Below are 27506 nucleotides of genomic sequence, written 5' to 3' on the forward strand. Positions count from 1 at the left end.
TGGTTGTGAAGAACTAATTGAAAGTGTAGATAATTTCTTACTTTTCTGCTAATTACATAAGAATAAATATAATAGTGCAATTTGGAAATTAACAGAAATGAATATATTTCATTAGATCAAATAATATTTTATAAGGTAATCTTTCAAGTTTGAAGTGATAACAGATTTTTCTATTAATTTACTGTTAGTTGTAAACAAAAATTAGATGACTAGAGAAATTTAGCTATAAAATCTATGGTTTTGTTCCACTTCTCTCATTTTTGAAGTGATGAAACTGAGATCCAAGTGGAGTGGAGTCACTTGGGCAATATCACAAAGTCGGGTGGAATTCAGACAGGTCTAGGGTGCGTGTCTTCAGATTCTCTGTCCAGCGATGTTTTCACCAAGAATCACTTGATGATATTACTTCATCATCATGAAATAGGGATCAGGTGGCATAGCAGAAGTGAGATTTGTAGAGTTCCATCCTCAGCCTCACAAAGCAGAGTTTAAAAGGATAGTTTGGAGTTAAGAGATGACTTCTTAGTAATGCTCAGACCTGAAACTTGATTCCCTGGGTGTAACAGAAGATGATCCCTGTGGCCACTAACTCTCGGGGATGATACAGGCCTGGGACTGTCTGAATGACAGGATGTCTGAAATCTACTTTTAAAGAGAGTGCTTGCTATCTACTTTTAAAGAGAGTGCTTGCTCAAGCAAAAGTCCAGTACAAAGAGAGTAAAAGAGTCCAAATGAAACCAAGCTCTTGAAGGCAGGATCTTGCTTTGCCTGAGGTTTAACGAGAGCAGCCTGATTGTATCTGCTTAACATGGATATGACCTTTTTTTCCTCCTTAAATGTTACCTTTTAAGAAGGAAGTCCACTGGGTCTAGACAGGAAGCCCACTGGGACAGACAGGAAGTCCACAAGGAACAGATAGGAAGTCTGTTAAGGGCTTCCTTGGCCCACCCATCTAAACTCGCCCAGTCCCTGTTTCATTCCTATCCCTGTTTCCCACTTCCTATCCCTATTTTATTTTTCTGTTTGGCATTTATTATTAACTGTATCAATCACAGTCTAGTCAGGAGACAGAAACCACACAAATTATTTGAAGAGAGAGAATTAATACAATGCATTATGTAGGCATTTGAGTACTGAAAAATTAAACAGAGAATATCAAAGCACCCTAGACAACAACTACAAGAATATACTGCCCCTGGGGCTGAAGAAACTAAGGGGAGAGTTTGGGATTTTCAAAATTCAGACGTTTGGAGCTGGGCCTCAAATCCCTTAGTAGTAGGAGCTAGCTGGTGCTAGGACTCTGAGGGAGAACAGTGTAGCTGGTTCTTTAAGTAAGCTACAAACTAGAATCAGCGGCTGCAACTGGAATGATCTGCCACAGCAAGGGTGAAGTGAGAATGACAGGAACAGGAGGCAGGAAGCCCACTGGGGACAAACAGGAAGTCCACCCCTGGGAAAAACAGGAAGTGAGGGAACAGACAGAAAGTCCACAGGAGCTGACAAGAAGTCCACAGGGGACAGACAGGAAGTGAGGGAGCCAACAGAAAGTCCACAGGGGTTAGACAGGAAGCCCACTGGGATGGACAGGAGGTCCACAGGGAACAGACAGAAAGTGAGGAGGCAGATAGGAAGTCCACTGGGGCTAAACAGGAAGCCCAATGGGACAGACAAGAAGTCCACAAGGAACAGACAGGAAGTGAGGCGTAGACAGTCCGCAGGGGCTAGACAGGAAAGAGCAGGTTCTTCCACCTTCCTTAGACTGTCCGCATTGTGTGGGCTGTTGGTGGATGTGAATAGAGAGCAGGTGGCAAAGCAGAAATGGGATTTGTATAGTTCCAGGTTCACATCAGGAAACAGAGTTTAAAGGGAGAACTTTGAGTTGAGAGGCGATTTCTTTGTATAATCAAGCTGCCTACTACCCTAAGTATTGAGAGAATAACTACCAGGGATGTTTGACTTTTTCTTGCTTTATCCCCAACACTTTCAATAGTGCCTGGCATATAGTAAAGCCCTCAATAAAAATATGTGCAAAGAATGAATGATTTTTGCAATGGAGGAACAAGACTTCTGTTGCCTTACAAAAATCATCTGCACAAACACCAATTTGGATGGGGGAAAAGAGATCCCAAAAACTGAAGTAGGAATATTCCAGCCTTATATAGGGAAAGGAATGGGCTAACTAAACCTTGCTAGGCCTTGTGACAGGCTTATTCTTGTATGGGGCTGGAACTGTCAGACACAATGTGTCCGGACATTCCTCCCCCATGGTAGGCTGCACTTGACCTTTTACTGCTTTGATTAAAATTAAGCCTCCTATGTAGCTTGCCAGGAGGGAGAAGGAACAGTTTCCTCAGTAGGCTTGGGGGTTGTATTTCATGACTCATACAGGTATAAATTAGCACTCAGGGGCTTGTGTGTGTGTCTATTTTCAGTCTAAGTTTGGCTACTCTAAATCACTTCTGAAGGAGAAGTTAGGGTATATCTTCTAGAGGCCTGAGGCCAGACTCTGTATCAAAGGGAATTTACACACTCAGTGGAGTTCTGTCCTTCGTGATTGTGGACAACAGCTGTTCTCAGTAATCCCCTACCAACTCTCAAGTGCCATGAGCCGCAGCAGTGAATCAGAAACTCCTAGTTGCACTTGCTCTCCTGTTGATCCTCCATCCCCAGTGATTCCAGGCATGGATCATTTTTACTGACTTTGATTCCTTTTAAAATAATAACATCCATCATTTGTCATTAGTTGAATGTATTTTTCACTACTTAAGAGTTTAACTTTTTTTTTTTTTAGGAAGAACAGCATGTGTTTAAAATCAAGTAAATCAGCATTTTAAATTAGTAGCAAAATCAGTGCTAATTTTGTATCTTCTATAATTTCACAGAAATATATAGAAACTAAATATATAAAAACTAAATTAAAATAATTTATTTGAAAAATGTCTACCTAAAAATAGGTTGAATTTCTATTTTTTCTTCATATTTAATTGATAACAAATGGAAATACCAAATAAGGGATGTACTGGCATTATGTAAAATCTTAGCAGTTTTGTAGCAAAAATAAGCCTCTCTGGGATAAAACTTAAAAAAAAATCATATGCTGATCACTCCCTAGCTTTATATATATGATTAAATGGCTGGTTGCCTTTAGTTTAAATATGGTAATAAAATAATAGAAAGCTTCAATAGTAGTGACATGATGCATCTGGTGGCTCTAATTTTCTGTCACTGAATAGGTATTTGTACAGCCCTTAAGACATTAGAAATTGGACTCAAAACATGTCAAGTGAAATGTGTCTTAAGCAGTTGGTGATTTCTTTTAGTATCCAAAATCCGTGAGAAGTAATTGTCTCAATAACCCTAGGGTCCTTTATTCTTTTATCATAATTTAAATCTGTATGAGTCTTTTCTTCTTAGGTGAAAAAAAGCAAGAGCTTTTCCTTCAATGTGTTAAACCCCTCTTTACGTCCACAGTTGTTGAGAACTTTTTCAAAGAATGTTATTTTTGATTGAGCTTTCCTCCACATAAGGCACTTCAAGTTGTGCCCTGTGGAACTTCCAGCAAAAGTGGGCAAGGGGCCTGCACCAACTTTTTGTAAGTTCCAAAATAAAGAAATTCCCCGTCCCCTCAGGGTTTTAGCGGATGCTGTTGCCTCTGCCTGCAAAACGACTCCCATCCCATTCCTTCTGGTTAAATGTCACTTTGTTCTTTAGGTCTCAGTTGAAAAGTCATTCCCATAAGTAATATCACACTGTTTCACTGTTGCTCCAAGCCAGGGCAGGCTTCCTTCTTATGCATCCATACTACACCTTATTTTTCTCTTTATGAAGACTTATCTCAATTAAATTCTTATTTGGGTTACCAGTTTAGCATTTACCCCTCCCTCTCAATAGACAAAGAGCATTTTAAAGGGCAGCACCATGATTGTTACGATTCCTACAGTACCACCACTGCCTGGCAGCGTTCCCAACCCATGAAAGGAACTGGATGGATGGGTGGGAAGATGGGTGCATGGTTGGATGAATAAGTTGATGGATGGGTAAATGGATGGAAGAAAGATGCTAGTTCTATCTGTACTGGAAAGAGTCTCTGTATCTACAGAGGGAGTGCATTGACTGCAAAAGGCCCAATCTAAAACTGGACCTAAGTTGCATTTGGGAAGCATACACTCCCCAATCAGCCATCATGCAGGTCCAAGGAGTGTCTCTGAGGCCCTGGGAGCATATCTGAAAAGCAGGGAAGCAAATGGGGCAAGTGCTGTTCACATGTGGGTGATCTCAGGAAAGGCCAATTGGAGGTGAGCACTTTTCAGTCCTAACCATGTGAGTCACTTTTCTAGTTACAGATAAAGAAAATCTCTACACAAATTCTAAATAATAAATGTTGCAATACACTTTAAGTAACATGATATGATGTAATTTATATGAAGTACAACTCAAGCAACTAAGTGGCATTTGTCCAGCTCTTAGCCTTTTGTATCTACCGCTTAAGCATAGAGAAGTTGTAATTTCTGTGCTTCAGTCTCTTAGGCATGTCTTATTTAATTACCAAACTTACTCCAAGGAGAGATTGCCTATCGTGTATTAAGATTCTCATGAATAGGCACTTTCACCACCCTGCATCCTCCACAAAAAGTGATACAGTGACCATCTATACTGACACCCAAAGCCGAAAGGCTGGCGCTTCTCGTAAAATCAGAAACATGCTCAACATTTACCTTGTTTGGTTAGTTAAGATAAACCAGATAATAATCAATGTCTTTTATCAAAATCCAGAACCAAGTGAGTCAACAAGCACTTCAGAGAACCTACAATTGAAGGACTGTGGAAGTCATTCTGCAAAATAAATCAGCAGGAAAACATGAACTCTACATGAGAAGAAAGATATTGACTTAGACAAACATTCAAACGAGAAGCAGAATAAAAATGCTTCTTAAGTAAATGGAAAATATGATGGAAAAACATGGCTTTTTGAGTCAGACAGGTCTTGATCAAGTGTGATTTATCTTACTAACCAGCTAGCTCACTACCCTGGGCTTCAGCTTTCTTAATTCACAATTAACACTGTGGCCTCCTAGGGCTGAGTGAGTTTTGAGTAACAACATATGAAAGCCCTTAATACAGGGCTTGGCACAAAGTAAGAACTGAACAAGTATTTGTTCTCCTCAGTCCCCGCCGCCCCCACTCATTATTGAACTGTGTAATACAAATAAAATCTAATCAGAAAATCAGTGCACATTTTGTAATGCAAGCCAGTTCAAACAGAGTTAAGGAACCAAGAGGTGAAGTTATACTGACCTTCAGAGAAGTCCCACAGATGGGATGGCAATAGGATTAGAATGTATTTTATTACATTAGAACCTTCAGAGTGACTTATGAAAGCAATTAGGATGATAAAAAGACATATCATTTGAGCAAGCTATTTAAAATGTGAGAGTGTTCTGCAATGTTTAGAGCCATTGCTGACGCGCACATTTTGAAAGAAAGTTGTCTATTCCCAACACCGGGAGATCACTTGTGCTTAACAAGTTATCATAAACAAGGGAAGTGCCCAGAATAACCAGCATTTTGATTTGTATTCACCCTGAGGCAGTCAAAGGAGCCATAAACCTTGTTTTTATTTGCAGAGATGACCTAACTGAAGATGGGGGAGTTGTTACTATTCCCTTTGCAGGTTATCATTAGGTAATAAATAAAGAATGATGGATTGCAGCTACTAAGCCAAAAAGAAGCTAGGATCTTTTATAGCACATGTCTAGCTGAAATGTACAAGTATGTGTAGAAGACTTGGGTGAGTAAATATTGAATGTTTAAGAATAAAGGGCTGTGCAGAATAGGCAGACCATAAGTAAAAGCAAAAGTCATTATCTGTTCCTTAAGAAGGCCCCAAATTTAATGTAGCCTTATCTTCACCATTCAGCACCATTGTTCTGAATTTCTAGTGTTGCTTTGACATGTAACATAATTATATGTTTACTACTTTAAAACTTTCTTGGATCTAATGTCAATCCTAATTATCTATTCTGCCTTCAGTAGTTCAGTATATTGTCCATTGGGAAATAGTGGTGGGCTCATGCAGTCTAGTTAAATCCCACTGACTCCCAGTACTTTGAAGTTTGCTGTGATTACCCCATGAAAAGTTAGAGCAATACCTCCTCTACTAGATGAAGAACCAGAGCTACTTCGTTTATAAAAATGTAGAAGAATTATCTATGCCCACGTATTTGAAATAGACCCAAGTCTAAAGTCTTGAAATACCTGCAACTGCAACCCCAGGCTGTGGTGGGTGCAAAATCTTTATGGGATAAATAATTTCCTCTGAATTTGGTTTCTCAAATACTGACTGGGTCATGCACAAGTTTACATTTACTTAAACTAGTGAAAGTGCACCTGATCTTGTCTTAAAACTTTACAAACTTAAAAATATACCAAAAAAAAAAAAAAACCAGCTTTACTTGACCTCAGGCCTAAGTTACATGTGTGCACCATTGGCTGAGAACTGGCAAACCCAGCTTTTAGTCCCACCAGAGAGGACAAGTGCCCTGGGAGCCCTGTGCCTTTATGTGTATACAAAAAACACAGTGTTCGATAGATTTGGGCACATTTGTCTTAAAGTGTTAACTATCTTAGAATAATTTGCTAATCTCACAGATTGCAATTTAAATGTAAAAATATCTTAAAAGCCCATACCTTAGTAATCACATTATTGAGTGTCAGCTTTCAGTTACATATACACTAGTTTATTACCTATATTTTTGTATGCACATGGCATTATCTATACTATGATAAAATCAAGAGTTATCTGTTCTATCCAACAGACATATGCAACTATGAAGGCCAAGCATATTAAGTACGTTTTGACATTGTATCACATTCCATTGTACAGTTTGCAGATTCATCCTGTTATTTGGCAATTATTCACAGTTTAGATTTCACCTTCATCTTCTGCACTCTAAAATGGATTAGAGTTGGATACTTTCAAGAGGTCATTTTTGTTTGATCTTGATTTCAAAGTCAACAACAACCAACTTCTTTCTCCAGTTTCCACCTTTCATCCACCCTTTGTCAATGGTGTGGCTGACTCCAGGCTCTGTCATGGGATAAGGGGACATAACACAGCTGTCCTAGATACAATGCACATATGGGTGAAACTGTAGAGTCGATAAGTATAATGGACAGTTAATTATCATGTTGGGCAAAATATCAGTAGATACGTAGATGTGTCAGAAGAGTCTGGTTGCTGTTGCCACCATGTGTGGTTGGATGCTGTGGATAATTTCTTTTGTGATGAGCTAAATTTCCAAATTTCCATACTGTCTTAATTCACCTTCCATTCACAGGTCCTTTCCACTATTTTTCTCTTCACATTAATACCATTCTTGTAGCCCACATTCACAGCCCTTACCTAGAAGAGTAGCTTCTGATGCACTCAATAATATATTTTCTATCATAGGAAGAGCAGACACATTCTTTGACCTGCTTCATTTATGTGGGTCTTCAGAAATGGTTCTTCTGCTCCCTGTAACTAGATAATGGCTGGGGCAGGGGACAGGGACTGTGAAAGTTTTATGCAAAGGGCATTATTTATCTTACTGTTCTTTTTCAACACACATATCCCTTTTCTCCAACTCCCAAACCAAAGCTTGGGAGAAAAACGTTTTCTCATCTTTAGTGTACCCCAGTACCAAGGCATACTTGTAATCTAATTTCCATACTTGGTTGTTATGGAGCAAGCCTATGGTGAATTCTGCTTTATTACGATAGACGTATGCATGTTAAAGTATGTGCCAGTGATATAATTTGAATAGTTTCCAATAAAATCTGAAAATGTACCCATTATAAGTCGGGAAAATAATTGATATTGAAACAAGCACCTACTGTATGCCAGGCATTTAAAAAATTATTTTAGGCAGATTCATTACAGGAGCTACTATTGCATTTAATTATATTAACATTATGAGAAACATTTTTATTCCTATTTTATTTAAGGGAAATCTGCCAATCAGACCCATTATCTAACCTGCCAAAAGTTGACATCTAACAAGGGTGAGAGCCCGGAAACCACAGCATGGCTATGGGATCTCAGTGTAAAGGCTGAGCATTTGACCAGGCATCCGTTATCTCCTCCCAGGAACATTCCCATGAGCATCCTTGGAGTCTAATTGATTGTTTGGGCAACATTGGGTATTGGAGGGAAAAGAGGAACTTAGATGTACAAAGTCTGTGCTTTTAATCACTTTGGTGCATGCACGGGGAACAGCTCTGCAATTCTGTATGACCTTGCTGAGAAAGCCAGGATTCCTACAGAGAATTCTGGAGGGCTTCTTTAACTTTCATAGCTCTGGTGGCTATCAGCTCCCATGATTATATGATTGAGTGATGAAAGACCAGAGAGAGAGAGAAAAAGAGAGAGAGAGGAGAAGAGAAGAGAAGAGAGGAGAGGAGAGGAGAGGAGAGGAGAGGAAGAGAGAATATGGTAGACAGACAGAAAAACACATACATTTAAAGCATTTTTAGATCAAAAACTAATTGAAAGAAGCCTACAGAGATTTCCAGTCCTAGAGAGTGGATGGTCTCCTTAGTTCAGCTTGATTCACAGCTATCTGGAATTCTGCATTTATTGTGGACATAACAGCAATAGTTCCAACAGCATTATTTCCATTTAATGTGGCCAAGCCAAAAATGCTCGTGGAGAATTTACAGGAAGGTGACTTCAGGGAGCTTCGTGGTAACAGCCACCACTGCCTGACCAAAAAGGGTGAGGGTCTCACCTGCAAATTGCTGAGAGAATAGGTATTGGGGCATTTTTATTTATTTATTCACTTATTTTGTGGAGAAAAATATGTAACTTGCCAGGAACCATCCTTGTCAATGAGTGACAAGCATACACACTGCTATACAGTGATTTTAGAAAATTCTTTTTAGAAACCTTTTGTTTTGCTAAATTATTTTATTGGGTAACCTGAGCATAAATAACTTCACTGCCTGCTTTGGTTTGGCTGTGTCCCCACCCAAGTCTCATCTGAATTGTGGTTACCGCATCATCTGAAGATTATACAATTTGAGCTAGCATCCTGAAAGATCATTCATAACTTTTCTAATCCCCACAGGATTCTGACATGTATGAGAGTATATGCAGTCATATATACAACTGGGGCTGGAATTTATGAATGGTCAAATTTGGTAGCCACAGCAACAGATGTTTAAGGTAATGGCCTGGGGTGTTACATGTGTAAGGGAAGTCATGTAGAATATGAGTATTGGTACAAATTATCATCCTCAGGCCCTACAGTGCAAAAGCCATGATGAGGCCATGTCTTTAGTCTGTGTCAGTGAACTTAATGGATGGTTGTTGTACTCAGTATTGCTTTCGATATTTATCTATTTGCCATCAGAAAATTTTGGTGTCTAAGGTCAACTTGCTTGAGAGTAAGGAAATGTCAGTAATAACAAACTCCACTTAAAGTCAGATGGTGTCCTAGCAGTCCTTTGGATATGTGGTGGACACCCCACAACACCATGCTTTCCTGCAGAGGCCATGTCCTGCTCCCTGACTGCAGGGCTGAGGAGAAAAACAAACACAACAAACAGAGCACAGGGTGAACAGGAACTAGCCCTTTGTGATCCATGTGGTGTATCCCAGTGTTGAGTTTGTGAATCTTACTAAACATGTCCTTTATCACACCCCACCCACACCGGCTGAGGCAGAATATTTGGGGAAGGAAGATCTTCTGAGATGATTCCCACAGACAAGAGTTCTGAGTATCATGGGTAGATATGCAGAAGGCGGCAAACTCCATAGGTAACCTTCAACCTATCAGTCCCGTTTTCAGCGCAGATACATTCAGTTCCTGTTGTATGCCCGCAGCTGGGAACCCACAAGTGAAAATATCTCTGACCTTCCATTTCGGGCTGCCCTGTGCAGTGGCAGTGTGGAGGAGGCAGGAAACAACTGGTCTCAAATCATAGCTGCCTTTAGAGTGACGTTGCTGAAAGGGAAACAAAGACTCTTGTCCACAATCTTGCTGTGTTCTGCATAAGTCAAGGGGAGCGAGTTTGGCACATGACGCCTTCCTGGCACTGGCTGCAGTCTCTCAGCTTTCTTAGTTGCCTCTGTGTTCTTTTGTAAGGAATCTAGCCCTTCAGTCAGCCTTCTGAGTCTTTGTGCTGCACTGTTAGACTGATTCTCTTCCAAGGGCACTCTCTCTGAATGACAACAGCACAATGCCCTGGGCACCAAGGAAGCACCACGGTGTGGAGGAAGTGTCTGGAGTAGGAGCCCGCCAGCCCTGGGCTCACCGTGTCCTGGTCACCCTCCAGGGCTTCAGCTTTGTTCTGTTTTCTTTTTCCTTTTTTTCTTTTTTCTTGAGACAGAGTCTCACTCTGTCACCCAGGCTGGAGTGCAGTGGCACGATCTCAGCTCACTGCAAGCTCCACCTCCCAGGTTCACACCATTCTCCTGCCTCAGCCTCCCGAGTAGCTGGGACTACAGGCGCCCGCCACCACGCCCGGCTAATTTTTTGTATTTTTAGTAGAGACGGGGTTTTGCCATGTTAGTCAGGATGGTCTCGATCTCCTGACCTCATGACCCACCCTCCTTGGCCTAGCTTTGTTCTGTTTTCTAAATGCTTTATTGAGGTATGATTTACATAACTACCCCTCACCACTTGAAGTGCACAGTTCAGTAATTTTTTAGTAAATGTGGAGTTGTGCAACCTTCTTCACAGTTCAGTCTTAGATTATTTCCAGCACCCAGAAAGCACTCACATACCCCTTAGCAGTCACTCCAGCCCCACCCCAGCCCCAGCAACCACTCCTCTGCTTCCCACCTCCAGTGCCTTTTTTGGCCATTTCATAGAAATGGAATCACACAACACTGGGTCCTCTGCTCCGGCTTCTTTTGCCAAGTATAATGTGTTTGGATTCATCCATGTTGTGTCTATCAGTACTTCCCTCCTTTCCATTGCTCAGCGGCGCCCCATCGTATCCCACTGTGTTTATCCATTCACCAGTTAATGGACATTTGGATTGACCGAGCTTCAATGTGTTATCTACACAAATGCAGCTGCTAATCCCTACCTTGCAAATCTGTTCCAAGGATTATGGATAATATAATAATATGGTATAAAATACCTGGGACAGAGGCAGAGGTGTAGTAGGTGGTTAATAAGTGAATGCTATCCATGTTGGTATGACTAAGAGAAGAACTATTAATATTGTGTAACTTTCCTGGAAGCTGAACCCTAAAGAGCATCGTTGTGAGAGACTGGATATCAACAGCAAAACCGGTAGGAGAAGTACCACTAGTGTCAGAATTAAATAGAGAAAACAGCTGATTCATGAGCTAAGTGCCAACTTGATGAGCTCAGCATAGAATTTGCCTCAGGCTGGCAGCCTGCTGTGGCCAGAGGGAATGGAGCCATGGGGCCGCACACTGGGATGGAGTGAGTGTGAGTGCAAAAACATGGGTGAGTTCAGCAATGGCTTATAGGTCCAGGTGACAACCCCTCATGACCCATGGGCTCTGATGAGAAACACATGTGCGTGCCTGGCTTTCTCTCACCCCGCCTGCCAGTGTGGCCGCCTCCTCTGCCCTTACTCAGGCAATAGCTATCCTGAATCATCTGCGACTCCCTCGCACTGTCCTTAGCCTTTCGGTCATTTTCAACAGCACAGAGTCCTGCACCCACTTTATCTCCTGTCTTCCACAGGTCCCCATGCACTGCCTTTATTCTTTAAAAATATGTCCTGTAAACTTGATTGATAACTCTAAAATATCTCTTTTTTTGCCATCTTTGAAGTTTATTTAATCTACAGTCATCCTGTGAAATAGTTATGGATTTATCCTCTAATTGGGAACATGGAAACTGGGTATCTGGACATACAGTTACTCTCTCCCCCTGCCCCACTCACCATCACACACACACACACACACAAACACACATACATACACACACACACACATGCACACACACGGAGCTCATGCCCTGAAGACAGGCAGAGTCAGAACTTGCACCAGCTCTCTGACCTCAGAAGCCACCACTGGCTATCCGATGACCACTGTGTGTGCTACAGACCTGGGTCTAATATGAGCTGCACCTTTAAGAGCAACATGGCATGGCTGGAGGGTCTTGAGCTCCCAGAGAGCCTGGGGGAAACCAACACTGGCCAGGGGGTGCAGGCTCCTGGGAAGGCTTCCTGCGGGAGTCCTGGGCTGTATTCCCAGAGACAACGCTGCAAAGTTGTCAGTAGAGGGTGATCTGGTTTATAAATCAGTAGAGAAAAAAATTATAAGGGATTCCAGAGTGATAGTAGCCAGATGACAAGTGTAGCTCTCTGAGGAAGAAGATGGCAATGTCTCAGATAGCACAGAAAATCCCAAAACTTTGAGCTGTCCCTTCCATAGGATGAGCTAAAAGATAATTTCCAAGACAGTGTTTCCAGTTGGAAAATAAGGCCCTGCTGAACTATTATTATTAATTGGTGAAAGTATCATATGTGAATATTTTGCAAAGAACACACATGTCAGTGGCTGCCACGTGGAACTGCAGGTCCTTACAGCATCTCTTCCCTCCGCTGGGCCCACGGCCTTCCCTCCTGTATGCTCACAGCCAGCTGCTCGCTTCATCAAAGCCGTCACTGAAATAATAACCCTATTTAATGATGACCCTACCTGATGACCCTATGTAAAAGTCAAACCCTTTTTCCTGCACTCTGACATCTGTTTTCATCCAGAATTGTTTATTTCTCTTCTTCTTTTTTTGTACTGCTCATTACCTGTTAACTTCTTATGCTTCACATTTTATGATGACTACTGTTGATTATCAGTTCCCCCACCCACATTGGAACCTAAGCTTCATGAGGATGAGGATATTTGCATAGTTTATCCATTGTTGTGTCTGGATTGTGTAGTAGAGTGCCTGTCTCATAACAGGCAGTTCATGAATAGTGACTGAATGACTGAACAAAAACACTACACTCCCTGGATAAGAGAGACTGAGTTTGTTCCACGGTATGGAATGAGATTCATGTCTAAAGGTGACATAGGGTATCTTATGTCCCAGGAATATATTCAGTCCTTTGACTGATGATCATTTGCTTCAATATTTCTCTTTGTGTCTTTGGAATGTACAGGTACAGGATCTCAGAATCTTAAGTTTTGGTTGTTCTTAGTTCAGATGTTTTTGTGTCAACCAAAGCAGTCTTATTGATTAATCAGTCTAGGTTGGCGTGTTCTAAATATTTTAGCTGGGACAGTTTTAGAAGGTCGCTAGTGAGTGTGATTTCTAAATTGCCCCTAACTGGGCTATGTGTGCTACTTATACAGAAATATCGTAGCCACTTCTCCTTTGTCTAGCGAATTAGCCTTAAGTAAGCTTTCAAAGATGTGTTAATTACCCAGGGTTCCAGAGCCTTGCTCTCCACAAGTGCTTTGCCCTGGGATACAAATGTCTGTGCTGTTCAGGGTAGTAGCCACCCGCCACATGTGGCAATTGAGGAGTTGAAGGCCTAAACGTTAAATTTTATTTGATTTTAATTTATTTAAACTTAAATTTGAATACCCATGTGGGGCTGTTCAGTAACTGGAGAAGTGAGTTTTTAACTGTATCCAATTTTAATTAATTTAAATTTAAATGTGCATAGCCACATGTGGCTCATGTCTACCATGTTGAGTAGCCCACATCTGGAAGGCTTCATCTAATAGACTTAGATCCTTTTAGTATGTTGGCCTGAAAGATGTCACAGAATTGAAAAGCGTAACAAATATAACTACAAATGCAACAACAAATTCACTAATGTAAAGTAACAATACTTATTATGATGACATTTAATCTCCAAGAAAAGTTCCATCACTTATTTTAAATCTCAGTCATATATCATCTATTTTCTTGACCTTTTAATATTTTCCTTCATTCCATTTTTATGAGGCATGTCCATTTTGGTGTAAAAATTAGCTCTTGAATTGTCTTGACTCCTTTAATATTCTCATTGTTTTACTCTTTTACGTCTTTATTTATCCGAAACATTATTATTATTATTATTATTATTATTATTATTTTACAATTCCTTTCTGGTTTGCGGGTGGTCATTCTTTGCACTTTTTAAAAACTCTTCAAGTTAATGCCTAGTTTATTTATTTTCTTTACTTTTAATTAAAAAAAAGCATTCAGGACTTTAAATGTCTCTAATTGCACCATAAGTAACTATCACCATTTTTATTATATTTTTATTTTTTTATTATATTATTATATATATTATATTATATATAATATATAATTATATTTTTATATATTATATTATATATAATATATATAATTATATTTATATATTATATTTATATAATAATTATAATTATATAATTATATAAATATAATATATAATAATTATAATTTTATAATTATATAATTATATAAAATATAATTATATAATTATATTTTATTATATTTTATTATAGATAGAGCCCTTATTTTCCACTTTATAATTAACTAATTGTTATAATCTTCTTTTCTTTTTGATCTAGTAGTTACTGATTAGCAAGGAGCAGCTAACAAGCTGGGTCAGGAGTATCCTAACACATTGAATCTGGGATAGCCCCTGAGCCCCGGATTCCTCTCAATAGTACTGTGCAGTGCCGCTTCCTCCATCTCATGAGGTAGTGTTACGTATCCTACCTCATACCCATAGCATGGGTATCCTATGGCATGGGGGCTAGATGTTTTGGGATTTGATTTCTCACTTCCTGGCTTGGAAACTCAGGTTGATGGCTTAATCCTTCATAGGTATCAGTTCCTACAACCTCTTCACAGGTCTACAGCAAAGACCAATAAACTAATACCTATGAAATGCAGTTCCTTGCATAGATGACAGGCTCAGTAAATGGAAGTTCTATTTAATAATTATCACTATGCTCCTTCTGGCAACATTTCTTGTTTCAACGTAGAAGGAAATACTAGCCTTTGGAAAACATTCATGCTTAGCTGCTACGAATTCTCACAGAAGGCCCCTCCAGTTTTGTTAAATGTCCAGCGAAGGCTGAAGAGGGACCTAGGAGGACCCCCACATTCATTCGTCATTGCCCAGCACACTCAGTCTCCTGGAATTTTGTTTTCCATGTTAGTTGTACTATCTGGGACCTCTCATGACTGGATGTGCACTGTGGAATTCCTAGGTGGGCCTCAGCTGGCTTCTGTATTATCACCTTCCTTGAGCCTTTGGTGTACTGGTCCTCCTCTGTTGCATCTGACAGAGCCATTAGTGATTTTCCTCCACATGGCTGGTTTGCCTTTCTGCAGCGTTGATTCTTGTCATTAACATTTAATCACACGATTGCTCGCTAGGTGTCCTTGCTGCATGTTCATAGACCATTCACGGGCTTCTTCTGTGGCTCCTTTTTGAGTGAGAAGCAGGTCGTCCACGCCCAGTTTCTGCTGAGAGGGTGCTTACTGAGTTCCTGTTCTCGCCTGCTCATGTGCCCTCGGGTTCTTGTCTGGACTTGGGTGGACAGCAGAAGTGGATGTGTCTACTCCCTGGAGATGTGTGTCACCTCCTAATTTGATTCTGCTGAACTAATGTTGAGGCTCTTCACCTTCATCTCTAAATATTGGGTCATTTTCTTTATCCATTTGTTTTTTGATGGACATTTAGACTGCTTCCAAACCATGGCTTTTGAGAATAGTGCTATAATAAACATGGGAGTGCAGATATCTCTTCGATTTTCTTCATTTGGATATATACTTAGGAATAGGATTGCTGAATCCTATGGTAGCTCTATTTTTAGTTTTTTGAGGAATCTCCGAATTGTTCTACAGAGTGGGTGTACTAATTTACGTTCCTACCAATAGTATACGAGGATTCCCTCTTCTCCACATCCTCGCCAGCATTTTGTTGCCTGTTCTTCAGGTAAGAGCCATTTTACTGAAGTGAGATAATATCACGCTGTAGTTTTGATTTGCATTTCTCTAATTTTCGTATACCTGTTTGCCATTTGTATGTCTTCTCTCGAGAAACGTCTATTCATATCTTTTGCCCATTTTTATTTTATTTTTATTTCTATTTATTTATTTATTTAGAGACAGAGTCTCACTCTGTCACCCAGGCTGGAGTGCAATGGCGCGATCTCGGCTCGTGGAAACCTTCTCCTCCTGGGTTCAAGCGATTCTCCTGCCTCAGCCCCCCGAGTAGCTGGGATTACAGGCATGCGCCATCATACCCGGCTAATTTTATATTTTTAGTAGAGACGCGGTTTCTCCATGTTAGTCAGGCTGGTCTTGAACTCCCGACCTCAGGTGATCCGCCCGCCTCAGCCCCCCAAAGTGCTGGGATTACAAGCGTGAGCCACCACACCCAGCTCTTTTGCCCATTGCTAAATCAAATTCTTAGATTTTTTTTTTTCCTGTAGAGTTGTTTGAGCTCCTTATATATTCTGGTTGTTAATCTCTTGTCAGATGGGTACTTTGCAGACATTTTCTCCCATTCTGTGGGTTGTCTCTTCACTTTGTTGATTGTTTTCTTTGCTGTGCAGAAGCTTTTTAACTTGCAGGGATCCCATTGGTCCATTTTTGCTTTGGTTGCCTGTACTTATGAGGTATATTCAATAAAACTTTGCCCATTCTAGTGTTCTGGAGAGTTTTTCTAATGTTTTAATAGTAGAGATATGTCACTTCTTTGGTTAATTCCTAGGTATTGTATTTTATTTGTAGCTGTTATAAATGAATTTACTTTCTTGGTTTCTTTTTTCAAATTGTTCATTGTTAGCATATAGAAATGCTACCGATTTTCGTATGCTGATTTTATGTCCTGCAACTTTACTGAATTTGTTTATCAATTCTAATAACTTTTTGGTGGTGTCTTTAGATTTTTTTCAAATCTAAGATTATTTCACTGGCAAAGAAGGATAATTTGACTTCTTTCTTTCTAATTTGAATGCCCTTTCTTTCTTTCTCTTGTCTGATTGCTCTAATTAGGACTTCTAGTACTATTTTGGATAACAGTGGTAAAAGTGAGCATCTTTGTTGTGTTCCAGATCACAGAGGAAAGACTTTCAGCTTTTTTCCCATTCAGTATGACACTAGCTGTGGGTCTGCTGTATATGGCTTTTATTGTGCTGAGGTATGTTCCTTCTATACCCAGTGTTTTGATGATTGTTATCATGAAGGAATGTTGAATTTTGTCAAATGCTTTTTCAACATCAGTTGAAATGATTATATGGTTTTTGTCCTTCATTCTGTTCATGTGATGTATCACATTGATTGATTTGTCTATGTTGAAGCATCTTTACATCCCAGGGATAAATCCTACTTGGTCATGATGAATAATCTTTTTTGTCTTGTTGAATTTGGTTTGCTAATATTTTGTTGAGGATTTTTGCATCAATGTTCATCAGGGATATTGGCTTGTCGTTTCCTTTTTTTTGGTGTGTTCTTATCTGGTTTTGATATCAGGATAATACTGACCTCATAGGATGAGTTTGGAAGTATTACCTCCTCCTCTGTTTTTCAGAATAGTTTGAGTAGGAGTGTATTAATTCTTTACATGTTTGGTAAAATTCAACAGTAAAGCCATCAGATCCTGGGTGTTTCTTCCCTAGGAGATTTTTAATCATGGCTTTGATATTATTATTTGTTATTGGTCTGTTCAGGTTTTGGATTTCTTCATGATTCAACTTTGGTAGTTTGTATGTGTCTAGGAATGTATCCATTTCTTCTAGGCTTTCCAATTAGCATATAGCTGTTCACAGAAGCCTCTAATCATCCTTTGTATGTCTGTAATGTCTCCTTCGTAATCTCTAATCTTATTTATTTGGGTCTTCTCTCTTTTTTCTTAGTCTAGCTAAAGGTTCATCAATTTTGTTTAACTTTTCAAAAAACCAACTTTTCGTTTTATTGATCTTTTTATTGTTTTCTTTGTTTTACTTTCATCTATTTTGGCTCTGATCTTTATTATTTTTCTTCTATTAATTTTTGGTTTTGTTTGCTCTTGCTTTTCTAGTTCTTTAAGATGCACCATTAGGTTGTTTATTAGAAGTTTTTCTACTTTATTGATGTAGGCAGTTATACCTATAAACTTTTCTTTTAGTATGCTTTTGCCTTATCCCATAAATTTTGGTATGGTGTATTTTTATTATCATTTTTCAAATAAATTTAATTTTCTTCTTAATTTCTTCATTGACCCACTGGTCATTCAGGAGCATATTATTTAATTTCCATGTGTTTGTATGGTTTCCAAAATTCCTCTTGTGACTGATTTCTAGTTTTATTTCATTGTGGTTAGAGAAAATACTTGATAGAATTTCAGGGTTTTTAAAATTTTTTAAGACTTTTTTGTGGCCTAACATATGGTCTGTTCTTGAGAATTATCCATGTGCTGAGGAGGAGAATGTGTATTCTGCAACTATTGGATAAAATGTTCTGTAAATATCTATTAGGTTCATTTAGTCTATAATGCAGATTAATTCTAATGTGTCCCTGGTGATTTTCTGTCTTGATAATGGGCATTGAAATCTCCAGCTATTTTTTCATTGGGATCTATTTCTCTGTTAGCTCTGATAACAATTTGCTTTTTATATCTGGGTGCTGCAATATTGAGTGCATATATATTTACAATTGTTGTATCCTCTTGTTGAACTGACCCTCATCAATATATAATGACCTTCTTTATCTCTTTTTATAGTTTTTGTCTTGAAATCTATTTTGTCTCGTGTAAGTTTAGGACTCCAGCCCTTTTTTTTCCCATCTGCATGGAATATCTCTTTCTATTCCTTTATTTTTAGTCTATTTTTATTCCTTTATTTTTAGTCACCTATGGGTGACTATAGGTGAAATTACTTGTAGGCAACAGATCATTGGGTCTTGTTTTTTTTTTTTCTTAATCCATTCAGCCACTCTATGTCTTTTGGCTGGAGAATTTAGTCCATTTACATTCAATTTTATTATTGATAAGTAAGGACTTACTCCTGCTATTTTGTCATTTGTTTTCTGGGGTTTTTTGTGCCGTTTTATTTCTTTCCTTCTTGTCTTCCTTTTAGTGAAGGTTATTTTCTCTGTGGTATGTTTGAATTTCTTGCTTTTTACTGTTTGTGTATCTTTTGTACTTTTTTTTTTATTTGAGGTTGCCATGAGCTTGCAAATAATATCTTATAACTCATTACTTTTTTTTTTTATTTTTGAGACGGAGTCTCACTCTGTCCCCCAGGCTCGAGTGCAGTGGCGTGATCTCGGCTCACTGCAAGCTCTGCCTCCCAGGTACATGCCATTCTCCTGCCTCAGCCTCCTGAGTAGCTGGGACTACAGGTGCCCGCCACCACGCCCAGCTAATTTTTTGTATTTTTAGTAGAGATGGGGTTTCACCATGTTAGCCAGGATGGTCTCGCTCTCCTGACCTCATGATCTGCCTGCCTCGGCCTCCCAAAGTGCTGGGATTACAGGATAACTCATTACTTTTAACTGATGACTGCTCATCAGGATTGCATAAACAAACTAAGAAACAAGTAAAGAGAAAACTAATAAAAATTCTGTGCTTTAACTTTGTCCTCCAGCATTTTAACTTTTTGTTGTTTTTACTTGTATTTTAGTCTTATTTCTCAAAAAGTTGCTGTAGTTATTATTTTTGATGGTTCATCTTTTAGTCTTTCTACTCAAGATATGAGTGATTTACAAACGTAATTACAGTATTATAAAATCTTGTGTTTTTCTTTGTATTTACTATTTCTAGTGAGTTTTCTACCTTCACATGATTTTTCTATTGCTCACTAATGTTCTTGTCTTTCAGACTGAAGAATTCTCTTTATCATTTCTTGGATGACAGGTCTGGTGTTGATTAAATCCCTCAGCTTTTGTTTATCTAGAAAAGTCCTTATTTCTCCTTCATGTTTGAGGGATATTTTCTCTGCATATATTATTCTAGGATTAAAGTTTTCTTCCTTCAGCATTGTAAATATGTTATGCCACTCTTTCCTGGCCTGTATGGTTTCCACTGAGAAGTCTGCTGTCAGATGTATTGAAGCTCCATTTTATGTTGTTTTTTCTTTTCTCTTGTTGCTTTTAGGATTTTTTTTTTCTTTATCATTGATCTTTGGGAGTTTGTTTATTAAGTGCTTTTAGGTAGTCTTCTTTGGGTTAAATCTGTTTGATGTTCTATAACCTTCTTGTACTTGGGTTTTGATATTTTTCTTTAGGTTTGGGAAGTGCTCTGTTTTATTCCTTAAATAAACTTTCCATCTCTCTCTCTGCCTTCTCTTTAGGTCCAATAACTCTTAGATTTGCCATTTGAAACAATTTTCTAGATCTTGTAGGCATGCTTCATTCTTTTTTATTCTTTTATTTTGTCTCTTCTGACTGTATTTTCAAATAGCCTGTCTTCAAGCTCATTAACTCTTTCTTCTGCTTCATAAATTCTGCTATTAAGATTCTGATGCATTCTTCAGTTTGTAAAATGCATTTTCAACTCCAGAATTTCTTCTTGATTCTTTTTAATTATTTCAATCTCTTTGTTAAATGTATCTGATAGGTACTGCCTGGCTGCCTCCAATGCTCATTCAAGGCCCAAGGTGTCTTCAGTCAATGTGTGGTGAATGCTGCCAGGACTGAGACTCACCCTTCAGGGCAGTAGGCTCCTCTCTGACCCAGGGCTGACCCTGAAATGCCATCCAAGAGCCAAAGCCTGGAATTGGTACCTAAGTTGCAAGGTACCTAAGTTGCAAGGCAAAATCCCCATTACTTTTCCTCCTACTTTCCTTAAGCAGAAGAAGTCTCTGCCCATAGCCATCACAACTGGAAATGTGCTACGTCACACATGAAGCTAGCACATCTCTGACTCTCACCCAAGGCCCATGTCGAGTACTGCCTGGGTACCACTGCTGATTATTCCAGGCCCCAGGGCTCTCTACTCAGCAGGAGATGAATCCTGACAGGACTGGGTCATTCCCTTCAATGCAGCTGGTTCCCTTCAAGCCTAGTGTGTGTCTAGAAATGTCATCTGGGAGCTAGGTCCAGGAATGGGGGCCTCAGAATTCTACCTGGTGCCCTATCTTACTGGGGCAGAGCTGGTCTCTGAATTGCAAGACAAAGTGCTCGTTAAACTTTTTTCTCCTCTCCTCAAGTAGAGAGGAGTCTGTCTCAGAGTGGCAAGCTGTGCTTTCTGAAGCTGGGGGAGGGCTAACACACTCACTCCCTTGGCCACCTTGGCTGGCGTCTCATTAAGTTGCATGCCCCCAAGTCCACCGGTTGTACACCCAACATGGCACCAGAACTTGCCTAGGAATTTCAGTTCTTGTGGCCTAGACTGCCTTTCAGGTTTATGTAGAACCTCAGAGCACTTTCACCCACAGTGGCAAGGCTTACTGGATCTCAGGTTCTGTCCACTGGGATGGTTCTGACCCTCCAGCTTGCCCTGGTCTGGTCTAAATGTTCCGTCTGTGGGTGTCGGCTGAGTTCTGCCCTGTGTTGCTTTCCACTGTGATAGGGCAGCACTGAATTCCAAGGCCAAGTCCCATGATCGCTGTTCTCTCCCTCCCACAATCACACAGATTCTGTCTGTGCCATGTGGCCACTGCCAGGAGATGGGGAAGGGGTGGCTTTGGCAAATCAAGACTGTCTCTCCTACCCTCCTCAGAGCCTCAAGTGACTCTTTCAGCAATATGAGGTTAAAACCATGTACTGTGGTTGCTTACCTGAATTGTGGTTCTCATGAAGGTACTTTTTTGTGTGGATGGTTGTCCAATCTGGTGCTCCTGTGAGGAGGAGGTTTGGTAGAAGCTTCTGTCTGGCCATCTGGCTCTGCCTTCTTAATATCAGCTTCTCAGCAGTCTTGTGCTGTTCCTCACTCACAGCTGGCTGCCTCCACCTGACCCTCCCCTTGACACCACAGGCAAGGACAATGGTGAGAACGTCCTCTCTCCCACTGAAATGTTTCCTTGTTGCACTTTGGGTTTGAGAAGTGCTGTGCTCCTGGGTCCTGCCCTTCTTAGAAAACCCTAAGAACTGGGTAAGAAGTATTTACCCCTGACAGAGGATCACCTTTCACTCCAAATTCCTTCTTCAGCCAGGGATGGAGGAAGTCACAAATATTATCATCTAAGCTCTAATCAAAAATTATATCACTATGAAGATTAGATTGTAGAGTTTGGCAAGAAATCTTGGTAAATTTAATTAATGTCCAGGTGAATTAAATGAGTATTAAATACTAAAAATATGAGAGCTCTTCATGCTCTCAGAACAAGGCCAGAAATATGGATGTTCTCAGTGTTGTACCCTTGAGGCTTCAGTGATGAGATTTTAACGTACAAAAAAAATCACTGCTTCTCCTAGTGAACAAGGAACATATAGATACAGGAATGGTTTTGAGTAAATCCACAGTCAATGATAATTTGGAATAACCAAGGATAATCATAGCGCATTCTTAAATTATACTATTAAATTATACTCTGCTTTCTCTAGCCTTCTTCCTGCCATAGAATTCATCCAAAGCCTGATTGGCTGATGACTCAGGTGTGCCCAGCTGTGCAGAAACCATGGGAGGCATGTTGGCCATCTGAGACAGTATTTGTGGGGCACATAGACAGTTGGCACTTCACCCAAGTCACACTTCTGCTGCTGGGATGTTTATTACACTGATCCAGTTTAGCCAGGCCACAAGATCCAGGTAGAACTCAACAATTCCATCTATGCCTATATCCAGTCAACCTCCAGATGACTCCTTCCCAGTCCTGCTTCTCCTTCGTCCAGCCCTGCCTCACCCTTGCCTCCTCTCCTCCTCATGCACAAACAACAGGTATTTATGTTTTACAAATATGTGCTGATATCACTGCAGGAGGAACTGGGGTTTGCGAGAAACCAAGGACTGAGTCCTTTCTGATGGATTATGATGATGGGAGTAACTCATCACTCGCAAGATTCAGCTTTAACCAGAAACTTTGTCAGAGTGTCCAGTGTCAAAGCCTTAGTAGTTTGAGTCTATACATAAGCAACTGGAAAGTGACCAGGGGACAAGTTTAGAGCTGGGCAAATGACTGAAATTGTGAAGCCTGGACTTCTTTGGGTTTAAGATGATGCATGATTCCTGTGACCAGCATATCAGCCCCGTTGTCCTTGAAGACAGAAAGGTTGAGAGAGCCCAGTGCCTAAGTCAGGTGTAGTGGAGAGAGGAACAAAAAGAAACAGACACAAAATTTCTTGGAGAAAAAGGAAGCTTTTTGGTTTATTTAAGATTTTAGCCAAATTTTTTTTTCAAGATATCACATATAATCACACAACAAGAATTACTGTGGCTTTTGGTGTAGATTCATATTTGGCTCTGAGGTTATAAGAAAATAAAAAGCAAAGTTTCACTTTGATTAAAGTTTGATAAAAGTTGAAATTATCTAGTGTTTCTGAAATATCACTAAGAAGACCTAGAATGAATAGAATATTCCCAAAACAAATGACACTTCAGGAGAAAAGATGGAGGAGAGTAAAAATGAAATTACTTGATAATTAAAATGCATCTTTCTTATAATGAGCCCAGTTACTTCTTTACTGTGTTTATTGATAGGTGGCTCTCATGAATAGGGCGCATGGCGTCACCTGAGACACGCTTGGAACTGGTTCACTGGGAGTCTGTCTCATTGCTGTAGAAATAACCTCAGTGACTGGGCGTTTATTCATTTCTTCTTAATTTCTATTTTATTTTTTGATTTATGAAACTTTAATGAGCAGTTTCTATGAATCTCAGCAGATCCCAATTAATACAAATCTACCAACTTTTAATGATGAATGCCAACAAATATACTACAGTAAACATCCTACTGCCGAGCTTCAATATTTTCTTTACTTACATTGCTCAGAGCTAGCATTTCCCAGCAGTAACACAACACATATTCGTTCGTTTCTTATGAAGGCAATATAAGTGTTTGGTGAGTTTTTCTAATGTAAAATGATTTCCAGAATTGGTCATGAGAAAGGCAGACCCTGTGAGAGCGAAGCCTGTCCTTTGCAAAGCCTGAAGGACTTGGCCTTTTCTGAGGCCTGGTTAATAATCCACCCGCCTGACATTCCAGTGGTTACTGTGAGCTACAGGCAGGTTCCCCTAGACATTTTGAGTTTCCAAACAAATATTCTTCATTCTGATAAGAAGAAAACATTAATCTTCTGCAATTTACCTTATCTTTTAGAATAGCTTGCAAACTAATAATGAAACAAGCTAATGAAGTAACTTTTTTGTGTTTTTTATTATCTGTTGTTTATCAAGGCATATCAAAATATCAGTCTTATCAGTTACTATGTTCTATGTATTTAATGAAATTGGAGATTATTTAAATACTGAATATTGTAACTCAGACTAAATTATTAATGAAACAAGTATAATGCTTGATGACTTGGTTAATGAAAACTCAAAAATCTGCCAACTGCAGCTGGACACCTTTGCCTGGGGATCCGGTCCTCTCACCCTGGGCCACCCAGAATGTAGCCTTGAGCCTGGGGGAAAGGAGAGATGGTTCTGAATCTGAAACAGCTGTGTTGGATCACAAGCGTGTAGGCCAGGAACCAGAAAGAGTGTAAAAAGCAAAGCAGCAGGTCAGAAACAAAATTGTGTTTGGGATGATTGTGGTGCTGGGTGCACCAACACTCAGGGCTTCAGAGGGATCTCCAACTGCAGAGTGAAAAATTCCTCAGGGGCTCTCTGAATTATCAGAAGGAAAGCAAAGATCATCAGGGCGAAGCATAATATTTTACATCCTTCGTTTTATTAATTCAGCAAATCTTGTTTGAATGTTCACTAGATCATATACTTTAAGTATATTAAGTCTTACAAACTCGTGACAAGTAGCTGTTCTTATATCTGCATCCTAGATGACAGAGCAGCACAGAAAGGCTGAGTAAATCATCCAAAGTCACACAGCTAATAAGTATGAGAATGGGATGATAAATTCTGCAGTGTCCGACTCACCCGGCCTTTCCCTTCTATCAGTCCGCTGCAACCTGCAGGGGAGATGCTGAATCACATCTATTCTAGGTTCTTAAGGAGCCAATCATCTTCTGAGGGGGGGTTTGAAAAGTGAGCAAGTGTTTGCATATCAAAAAGTGTTGTTATTGGTTTAAGCCATGCATGAATTTTTCTTCTTTTTTGGTTTAATACCTAAACTGGTTACCTTCGGTAATGGAGAAACTAATTGGGTAGCGTTATACAAGGTTGAACACATTGATGACTGCTTACGCTTCTCAGTTAGTTAAAATACAAAAAGGTTGAAAGCTAATTGGCTTTAACCATTATTTAATTTATTTCACACTTGGCATTCCCTGGTAGAACTGTAAAAGGTAAAGTGTTGTTGTGTCTTCGTTTAGTTCCCGGAGTTCTAGAAGGCCAAGAAGGTTCCGAAGTAATTCATGAATAGCACTGCAGGAAAGGCTGCCTCTGCCCTCTCCCTCAATCCTGGGCATAAATTCTAAGAATTTCACTTTCCCATGGCTGTGTGGTATTTGGGCCCCAGGAGGTCTACCCCCCATGGTGGTGCTGATGGCTTCATTGATAGTCTACCAAGCTTACCTTTGTCTTGCCTCCTCTCACCCCCAGTGGTAACACTGCAGCCAATGCTTCCTCTCCCAATATTTGATAAACCTACTCTCCTCTGTCTTTTATGTCTCCCACCCCAAATCCTATTTTCCTTGAGAGTTGTGTTTGGCGTTTTCTCAAGGTCTAGGAAATGCTCCTCCAGGCCTGCAGTTCACACTGTACAAATGTCTGGACTCATCCAGGACAGCCCAGCCCCATGCAGGGCTTCACTACGTGGACATTAATGTGAGCGAACTCTCCCCGCAACTCCCAAGTAAGAATCAGACCCAGGCTCCCCACATCAGAGGCAAATTTAGAATGGACATTGGATGCCGTGGGTCAGCAGCTGAGAATACCTAGTGAGTGTCTCAGTCAGTGGGCAGCACTAGATTTGCAAAATCACTGAAAAAAAAATCAGCATAATAGTAATACTAATAGTTCAGTATTGCAGAGCTCTAAATGATACCCTGATGTTCTGCAGGAGTAGATTGCATTATAAAATTAGAGCAATATGTAATAACATTTATTAGGACTTTTAAAATTCATCTGTAATCCAATGATCCAGCAATGCCATTGACATTATTTTAAAAGAATGGATGCACAGACCTGAACTTGAGTAGTGCAGAGAGCTATAAAAAGGAAGTATAATCTTCTTGCATCCCTCCTACTCAACTTTCTCCTCCTGAAGAGGCTTTTCCCCCTGAAGATGGTTATTGTTCCAACATCAACAATTTCTCTTCAGTCATCCAAGAAAATTCTTTAAGTGTAGATACACAATTTTTAAAATGAACATAATTGAGAGCATGCTATATACTGTATTATATACTTTTAACAAATTAATACCTTTTGGAAACCCTGTAGCATAAACCTTAAACTTACAAGTTCTGAAAGTACTCTGATTTTGTTCTAATCCTTACACTATATTTCCTGGCGAGCTGACCTTGAAAACATTACTGAATCATTCTACATCTCTATTTCCTCACCCATAAAAAGGGGGCACTGATGCCTTACAGAATGTAACTATGGATGAGTAATCAATAGGTATTACGTAGAAAATATGGGCCACAGCTTCAGAAACTTAAAAAAATGTTTAATTATAATTATCATCAGTACGTAACTCTAACTTTTAGTGGTTATATAACCTCCAATTATACAAATATACTTTAAAAATTGACCCTGAATTTACTGGTAACCATTTAAATTGTTTCTTGTTTTTATTATTTTTAGTTTTGTTATTATAAACAAGGCTGCCATACACATTCACACCTGTTCACTGATATTGAAGAAATTCTTACAAGAAATATTTGGCGAGAATTCCCAAAAGTTAACTCCCTGGAGTTGAATTGTGCACGTTAACTCATAATGTCTGTGGTGCACAGATATATGGGCTGGCCCTGGGGCTGCCTCCTGAGTGGGGCCTCAGTTTACATTTCCCAGAATGTAAGATTGCCTGCTTGTCCTCATGCTCACCAACAATCGTGCTACCAAGATCTTAAAAATATTTGTCACCCTAAAAGGTAAAAAAGCAATCGATTTTGTCTCTCTACGATTTTTAACGTTGTATTTAGTCTGTTTTGCCCTACAGACATTTTTGGTATTTTTATAAAATCACTGCTTTCCTATTTCCTTTAATATCTTGCTTAGAGAAACCTTCCTGATTCCCTAAGAACAATTTTTATGCTTTCCTCTAGATTAATTTTGTTAAGTTACCCTTTTCTAGAAAGTGTTACATTTGCTTTGTTTTCAAATTCGTTTTAACAGAGTTTTGCACATTACCCTATTAGGATTCTAATTTTGATCACTTTATCTGAGACCCCTCACCAATATGAATATTTAATATTTAAGTGTGCACGTGTTCTTTCTTGCACCGTCATTACTTTTGGTGTAAATTAACTGACTTTGGTATGCTGTGCACCCTCTGTCCCTTTCTCATTCCTGGAGTCCAGTCCTGGAGCAGCTCCACGCCAGCCTTTCTCCAGGTATGC

At 39.6% G+C, this 27506-nt stretch overlaps 1 protein-coding gene and 1 long non-coding RNA gene across 5 annotated transcripts in view, besides 6 other annotated features; one reads left to right on the forward strand and one right to left on the reverse strand.

Moving 5' to 3' along the window:
* Nucleotides 1-21884, reverse strand: part of ADAMTS16-AS1 (ADAMTS16 antisense RNA 1) — a 34077-nt gene extending 12193 nt beyond the window's left edge. The window contains exon 1 of the long non-coding RNA NR_198969.1: nucleotides 21665-21884. This is a non-coding gene — a long non-coding RNA (ADAMTS16 antisense RNA 1). The remainder of the gene's footprint in view (nucleotides 1-21664) is intronic.
* ADAMTS16 (ADAM metallopeptidase with thrombospondin type 1 motif 16) overlaps nucleotides 1-27506 on the forward strand; it is a 179975-nt gene that overhangs the window by 14001 nt on the left and 138468 nt on the right. The window lies entirely within an intron of this gene.
* Nucleotides 20873-21373: an enhancer, noted in NCBI's record as "H3K27ac hESC enhancer chr5:5175316-5175816 (GRCh37/hg19 assembly coordinates)". NCBI's record gives its function as "activates a minimal SCP1, AML or CMV promoter by ChIP-STARR-seq in naive H9 embryonic stem cells {active_cell/tissue: H9 hESC(naive)}" and the evidence as "EXISTENCE:reporter gene assay evidence [ECO:0000049][PMID:30033119]".
* Nucleotides 21374-21874: an enhancer, noted in NCBI's record as "H3K27ac hESC enhancer chr5:5175817-5176317 (GRCh37/hg19 assembly coordinates)". NCBI's record gives its function as "activates a minimal SCP1, AML or CMV promoter by ChIP-STARR-seq in naive H9 embryonic stem cells {active_cell/tissue: H9 hESC(naive)}" and the evidence as "EXISTENCE:reporter gene assay evidence [ECO:0000049][PMID:30033119]".
* Nucleotides 24770-25513: an enhancer, noted in NCBI's record as "OCT4-NANOG-H3K27ac hESC enhancer chr5:5179213-5179956 (GRCh37/hg19 assembly coordinates)". NCBI's record gives its function as "activates a minimal SCP1, AML or CMV promoter by ChIP-STARR-seq in naive H9 embryonic stem cells {active_cell/tissue: H9 hESC(naive)}" and the evidence as "EXISTENCE:reporter gene assay evidence [ECO:0000049][PMID:30033119]".
* Nucleotides 24770-26256: a biological region, named in NCBI's record as "OCT4-NANOG-H3K27ac hESC enhancers GRCh37_chr5:5179213-5179956 and GRCh37_chr5:5179957-5180699".
* Nucleotides 25326-25620: a silencer, noted in NCBI's record as "tiled region #429; K562 Repressive non-DNase unmatched - State 24:Quies". NCBI's record gives its function as "represses a minimal TATA promoter and a strong SV40 promoter by Sharpr-MPRA in K562 cells {active_cell/tissue: K562}" and the evidence as "EXISTENCE:reporter gene assay evidence [ECO:0000049][PMID:27701403]".
* Nucleotides 25514-26256: an enhancer, noted in NCBI's record as "OCT4-NANOG-H3K27ac hESC enhancer chr5:5179957-5180699 (GRCh37/hg19 assembly coordinates)". NCBI's record gives its function as "activates a minimal SCP1, AML or CMV promoter by ChIP-STARR-seq in naive H9 embryonic stem cells {active_cell/tissue: H9 hESC(naive)}" and the evidence as "EXISTENCE:reporter gene assay evidence [ECO:0000049][PMID:30033119]".

The sequence above is a fragment of the Homo sapiens genome, chromosome 5 (genome assembly GCF_000001405.40).
Source record: "Homo sapiens chromosome 5, GRCh38.p14 Primary Assembly".
Classification (NCBI taxonomy): Eukaryota; Metazoa; Chordata; class Mammalia; order Primates; family Hominidae; genus Homo; species Homo sapiens.